Here is a 7,606-nt window from a genome sequence, read left to right as displayed (position 1 = left end):
GCATTGCTATTTATTTGTATATATTATTTACTTTCCGAAGTGTATTATAGGTTCCCTAAGGCCCACTCTCCTTTCTTTAATTCCTCTCATATTACATGTAACTGATGTGCAAACAATTTGTGTTAACTTAGATTTCAATATAAAAATTAGTTTATCCCATTCGATCGATTGGACAGAAAGATAATCAAATAAAAGTTTTTCTGTATCTCACTAGTCTGTTTATAATTTCATATTTAATTCCATTGCTTAAGCATGCTAACACACGGTGCCAAAATAGTAATAAATAGGCATGCTGTTGTATTACGTGCTACTTCCTATTATCAGAAAAATAAAATGAATGCTTTTCCTCTATAACTGCTTCCTTAACTTTTACAGTTCCTCCAGAATGCATAAGACAATGCTGATATTTCAAGTCTCTCTCCTGCCTTTGACATGGCTGTGCTTTCTACTACCTTTGCACACACCCTCTTTACCTTTGATAAATGTACTTTAAATGACCGATAGTCGTGATGATTGCATGCTGTCTCCTGATATAAAATCTCATTGAAACACAGAAATGTTCTTGTTCCTGAAGGGTTCAATAATCACTCAGCAACTCACCTCTTCAGAGGAGTGAATATACACAGAAGTCCTCTTCATCTCAGCTACTGATTCTCTCTAACCTGCTTTACCTATTCAAACATGAGGGTCTTGTTTTTCGTCTTTGGAGTCCTTTCCTTGATGTCCACAGTTCCTCCAAGAAAGACAGAAACTTTTTTATTCCAAAGTTCTAAAACTATAAGTAAAAGAAAATGCAAGGTCTTTCAAGAGTCTGAAAATAAATTAGGCATGGGCAGATTTTACTGTACCATGAAGGCTGCTCAGAGGATTGAAGAGTTAATACTAAAGAAATAAATAAGGTGGTTCACTGCAGTGATTTAACCTATGATAAACTCACTCGAGGCCGGGCACAGCGTCTCATGACTATAATCCCAGCATTTGGGGAGTTTGAGGTGGGTGAGCTCAGGAGTTCTAGACCAGCCCGGTGGGGGCAACAGGGTGAAACCCCATCTCTACAAAAAAAAAAAAATAATCATACAAAATTTAGTCAGGTATAGTGGTGCGTGCCTGTGGTTCTGGCTACTCAGGAAGCTTAGGCAGGAGGATCGCTTGAGCCTGAGATGTCAAGGCTGCATTCAGCTTAGGTCATGCCACTGCACACCAGCCTGGGCAACAGAGTGAGACCCTGTCTCAAAAAATAATAATAATAATAAATAAACTTACTTGAGAGTTGTGTTTGATCAAAAGGTGGTGAGAGGATGCACACAGAACACAGGAAATTTAAAGAATTGGAAAAATGAAAAGCGAATGATGACTAGAAGAAGGGCTAGAGGTGAAGAGGTGGATACTCCACCATAATCCTTGGTTCACAGGATAAATTCACCACTGATCCAGGCAAGGACCTAGCCTCTGTGTTCCTTTAAAGTTGAATAAAACTCATATGATATCATTTAATGTATATGGAAATTACTTTTTCTACGGTGAGAGTTAAGATTCTACCTTAATTTTTAACCACATAACTAGTCAATTATATATAAGCATATTTATTAATCAATATGACTTTCCCAAATTAATTTTAAAATTCATCAATACCCCATAATAAAAACATATTAAACTGTGGTTTATACCTGAGATTTAGATTACTGGTTGACTTATTGATCATTTCTGAAGCACATTTTAATACTTCACGATTCAAGATTCCCTCATTTATATAATATTCATGATTCAAGATTCCCTTATTTATATAATTGTAAGTAATTATGCCTTTCCTCCATGAATGTTAGTGGGTTTTTTATATTTTTATTGAGATACAATTTACCATAAAATTCATTGCCTTAAAGTGTTCTATTCAGTGGTTATCAGTGTATTCTTAAAATTGTGCACCCCTCCCCATTATCTAATTCCAGAATATGTTTATAACCGCAAGAAGAAATCTCTCCTCCTCCCAGTCCCTAGCAACCACTGATCTAATTTGTGTCTCTATGTATATTCCTATTCTGGACATTTACTATGAACAGAATAATAAATATGTGATCCTTCATGTCTGCCTTCTTTCATTTAGCATAATGTTTTCAAGATTCATCCATGTTGTGGCATAGATTCGTACTTCATTCCTTCATTCAGTGGTCATCACTGTATCCCACTTTAAGAATCCACTGATACTCACTAAATGGAACACTCTCAAGGAATGAATTTTATATTAAATTCTATCTCAATAAAAATGTAAAACACCAACATTCACGGAGGAAAAGTATCATTCTGTATAATTATATAAATGATGGAATCTTGAAATAAATTTTAAAATGTGCTCTGAGGTAATATGCACCTCAGAAAAGATAAATAAGTCAATTGATAATCTAAATCTCAGGTATAAACCACAGTTTAATATGTATTTATTATAAAGTATTGGTGGATTTTAAAATTAATTTGGGAAAGTTAGATTGATCATTGGTGTTGGTAAAAAAAATTTCATCGTATGGATTATTTAGCATATGGTTGTTTATAACAGACTTTAATGATCCATTGTGTTTCTTTTATATCAGTTGTAATGTCTCCTGTTTTATTTCTGATTTTATTTATTTGGCATTCTCTCTTTTGTTCTTGGTTAGTCTAGCTAGCAGTTTATAAAGTCTGTTTATCTCTTCCAAAAGTCAACTTTTTGTTTCATTAACTCTTTGCATTTTTTAAATCTCGAATTCACTCAGTCCTGCTTTGATTTTTATTATTTCTTTCCTTCTCCTAAGTTTGGATTTCATTTTATCTTGTTTTTCTTGTTCCTTGAGGTGCATAGTAGCTTGTTCATAATCTTACTATGTTCTTGCAGTAGGCATTTATTGCTATAAAATTCTCTCTTAGCACTGTCTTTGTTGTATTCCATAGGTTTTGGTATGTTGTCTTTCCATTTGCATTTATTTCAAGAACATTTGTTATTTTCTTCTTAGTTTTTTCATTGACTCAATGGTTGTTCGGAAGCATGTTGTTTAATTTCCATGTTATCTGTATAGTTTCCAAAGTTCTTCCTAGTATTCATTTCTAGTTCTATTCTATTTTTGTCTAGAATATACTTGATATAATGTTGATTTTTCAAAATTTGTTGAAACTTTTTTGTGTCTTAACATGTGGTCTAGCCTGGAGAATGTTCTATGTGATGAGGAGAAGAATGTGTACTCCACTGCTATTGGATGAAATGTTCTGTAAATGTCTGTTAAGTCTATTTGGTCTGCGGTACAGATTAAATTCGATGATTCTTTGTTAGCTTTCTACCTAGAATGCTGAATGTTCAATGCTGAAAGTGGGGTATTGAAGCCCTCAGTCATCATGATGTTGAGGTGTATCTCTCTCTTTACCTCTAATGACATTTTTAATATATCTAAGTATTGCACTACTGGGTACATATATATACATATTTGGAATTTTTATATCCTCTTGCTGAATTGGCCCTTTTATCATTATATGATGGCCTTCTTTGTCTCTTTTTATGTTTTTTCGCTTAAAGTCAATTTTGTCCAATATAAATATAGATGTATTAGGCCATTCTTGCATTGCTATAGGGTTATCATAAGAAAGTACCACAGAATGGGTGCCTTAAATAACAAAAGTTCATTTTCTCACAGTTGTGGATGTTATAAGTCTAAGATCAAGATGTCAGCACATTTGGTTTCTCCTGAGGCCTGTCTTGGCTTGCAGCTGGTTGCCTTCTTGCTATGTCCTCTTATGGCATTTTTTCTGTGCACATGCATTCCTGGTGTCTCTTCCTCTTCTAATAAGGACATCAGCCATATTGCACGAGGGCCATACCCTGGGAGTCTCATTTTAGCTTTATCACTCCTTAAAAAAAAAAAAAAAACTTATCTTCAAATATGATTACATTCTGAGATACTAAAGATTGGGACTTCAACCTACAGATTTTGGAGGAAAACTTGTTAGACCATAACGATGAATTCATCAATAGACCGATGTGATCAAGGAAAGAATCAGTGAGCCTAAAGAAGTTTAAATAGCAACTTCCAAACTTAAAAGCAAAGAAAAAAGAATTAAAAAGAACAGAATATTTGATAAGTGTAGGCCAATTACAAAAAGGAACAATATATGTGTAATGAAGTATCAGGAGGAGGAGAAAGAAAGGAATAGAAGAAATATTTGAAGAAATTCTGACTGAGATTTTCCCAAAATTGAAAATAAACAAAATATACATATCTAGGAAGCTGAGAGAATACCACGCAAGATAAATACAAAAAAATTTAAACATAGGCATATTATATTGAAGCTGCCAAAAATCAAAGACAAAAAAAAAATCTTAAAAGAAGCCAGGAGGGAAAAAACCTTTATCTATGGACAACCAAGGATAAGAATTACATCAGACTTCTCTTAAACCACATAAGCAAAAAGAGAGGAAAGTGAAATATTTAAAATGTTAAAAAAGAAAAAAAGAACACTATCTTAAAACTGTCTACTTAGCAAAATTATCCTTTTTTTTTTTTGACAGAGAGTCTCACTTTGTCACCCAGGCTGGAGTGCAGTGGCAGTGACCTTGGCTCACTGCAGCCTCTGCCTCCTGGATGCAAGCAATCTCGTGCCTCAGCCAGCCACCACCACGCCTGGCTAATTTTGTATTTTTAGCAGAGACTGGGTTTCCCTAGGTTGGCCAGGCTGGTCTCGAACTCCTGACCTCAGGTGATCCGCCAGCCTTGGCCTCCCAAAGTGCCAGGATTAAAGGTGCAGGCCACCGCACCCAGCCTACCCTTTAAATTAAGATAAAAATACATAATTTTCTTAGGTAAACAAAAATAGAGTTTGTCACCAGTAGTCCTACCTTACAATAAAAGTAAAAAGAAATTATTCACTCATACTCAATGGTAAAAAACTAAAAGCTTTTCTTCTAAGATCAGGAACAAGGCTAAAGTGCCCCTTCTTGCCACATTTATTTAACATGATACTAAGAGTTCTAGCAAGAACAATTAGGCAAGAAAAGGAAATAAATGGCATCCAAACTGTTGAGGGGTGGGAATGAGTAAAGTTGTCTATTTCCAAATGACATAATTTTTTTGTAAAAAGCCCTAAACTTCACTCCCCACAAATTATTACAACTAATAACAAATTCAGTAAAGTTGCAGGATAGAAAATCAACATACAAATATCAGTTGTGTTTCTATAGCACTAACAACAAACAACTGGAAAGCAAGTAAAGAAAATCCCATTCATAATAGCAAGAAAAAGTTAAGATATTTAAGAATAAACTTAACCAAAAAGATGAAAGAGTGGTACATTAAAAATTGCAGACATTCATGAAAGAAATTAAAGAAGACACAAATCAGTGGAAAGATATCCTATGTTCGTGAATTGGAAGACATAATAATATTAAAATATCCATACTATTCAAAGCAATTTATAGATTATATACAATCCCTATCAAAATCCTAATGGCACTCTTGACAGAAATAGAAAAAACAATCTTAAAATTCATATAAAACCACAAAGGACCCAGAATAGTCAAAACAATGAGCAAGAAAAACAATGCTAGGGGCATCACATTTTCTAATTTCAAAATGTATTATAAAGATAGAGTAATCAAAACTGTGTGCTACTGGCATAAAGACAGACATATAGGCCACTGGAAGAGAATAGAGGGCCCAGAAATCAACAGACACTTATACAGTCAACTGGCCTTCAACAAACATGCAAAGAATATATAATGGGGAAAAGACGGTTTCTTCAATACATGGTACTGAGAAAACTGAATATTCACATGCAAAAGAATAAATTGGGCCTGTATCTTACACTACACACAAAAAGCAACTCAAAATGAACTATACATTTAAACATAATTACCTGAGACTATAACACTTATAGAAGAAAACATAAGGAGAAACTTTCATGATGTTGGTCATGGCAATTATTTTAACTTACAAATTGTAACAAAAGGATTTGGGAAGGACTGGTAGGTTTAAAGGGAATATTTATGGGGGATTATGGGTTATAGGCTCCTGTGCATATCTCAGTAACTTCCTCAACAAAGGAGAAATGGCCTTGAGCCCGAATACCCTGGGAAGCTGGAACTAAGACTCAACTCCTTCTGACCCGTTCTCTCAATTAAGGATTCCTTTTTCTCATTTCACCAAGAACAGAGAAGCAACCAAAGATAGCTTTTCCACTTTTCCACCACCATATCTCTTCACATAGTTTTATCTTTATCCGTAATCTACCTTCTCTTCACTGTCTGATTCAAGGCCAACCCCTCCACTTACACTAGATTCCATCCCCAATGACTTTTTCAAGAATTTAACTCCAGAAGTTAAACATTATTTCCTGCATTATGAATCTCTACACTACCCCCAAGCAGGATAATTCATTTTAGGTAGAAATATGTGGTAATAGTTCTCATTTAAAATTCTGTACATTTCCAGCTACTGCCTCATTTACTCCTCTCTTTATAGAAGAAAGCATCGTTTGTCTTTATTCAGCATCTCCACTTTTTCTCTTGCATTCTTTTGCTGTTTTTGTTTTTCTGGGAAAGTTCTTTAATGTTTTTAATTTATTATAAAACATTTCAGACATTTAAGAATAAAAAGTAAGTATATTGTATCGTATAATTTGTCTTCTCCTCTTAAAGCCGGAAGCTTCATTTCTAATGATGAATGTCCTTCAGAATATTATCATTGCAGACTGAAGTGCAATGCTGATGAACATGCAATTACATACTGTGCTGACTTCAGCATCTGCTGCAAACTGAAGATCATTGAAATTGACGGACAAAAGAAGTGGTGAAAATGCTAACTCCATCTTCTTCAGACTCCAGGAGCAAAAACATGTCTTAAACTCTCTTATCTACGAATAATTAACATGATGGATGAAAATTATTATAATTGCATGTTTAGATGGTCAGGTGAAAATGAATATAAATTTTATAAATGCTTACCCTCTATTTTCATGTGTGCATTTTAACATTAACTCCCTTAATTTACATCCACAGCCACATTGCTGTTTCACCCATAGTACTATATCCGATGCGGGGAGTAAGAGCCAGCCCCTCTTGCCCCCCTGGCTCTTAGGACCCCCATTGCAGCGGGGTGAGGCACTCCCCGCGATGCCGGGAGTAACAGCTAGCCCTTCTTGCCCCGCTGGCCCTTAGGACACCCATCGCAGGGGGGAGAGGGGCCCCCCGCGATGCGGGGAGTAAGAGCCAGCCCCTCTTGCCCCCCTGGTTTTTAGGATCCGCGGTGGACTCACAGCCTGTTTATCATACTGTGAGTAATATCATCTCCCGCTCTGGAGATTATGAACTGTTTCACAAACCGGTGTACACCCTGGGTATACAGAGGTTGTACACCCGTCTCTATTGGGAGTCATATCATCCTCTTCCTCCCTGAATATTAAGAACAGTATCACAGAGTTGTTTCTACTCCCTGGGATATCGTGTGTCATATCCTCCTCTCCCACGTTGCAATTAGAAACAATATCAGTGGGGGGGTGTCCACCTTCTGTGATATTGAAAGTAATATCATACTCTTCCCTCTAGGATCGTGGGAACAATATACTTGGTGGTGTCCACTTTCTGCAATATATGTAG

At 35.6% G+C, this 7,606-nt stretch overlaps 1 long non-coding RNA gene and 1 pseudogene across 2 annotated transcripts; one reads left to right on the top strand and one right to left on the bottom strand.

The window, feature by feature from the left end:
- DEFB131C (defensin beta 131C (pseudogene)) lies at positions 682–6,804 on the top strand (annotated as a pseudogene).
- Positions 3,767–6,818, bottom strand: LOC105379246 (uncharacterized). Of its 2 annotated transcripts, none has more exons than XR_948965.2 (2): positions 6,739–6,818; positions 3,767–3,867 (listed from the first exon to the last, which is right to left on the bottom strand). It is a non-coding gene; the product is annotated as an uncharacterized LOC105379246 (long non-coding RNA). The 2 variants fall into 2 exon arrangements; XR_948966.3 differs by lacking the exon at positions 6,739–6,818 and adding an exon at positions 6,436–6,515.

This window comes from Homo sapiens, chromosome 8 (genome assembly GCF_000001405.40).
Source record: "Homo sapiens chromosome 8, GRCh38.p14 Primary Assembly".
Taxonomy (NCBI): Eukaryota; Metazoa; Chordata; class Mammalia; order Primates; family Hominidae; genus Homo; species Homo sapiens.
Note: the sequence above shows the minus strand (reverse complement) of the source record. Positions and strands in the feature narration are given on the sequence as shown.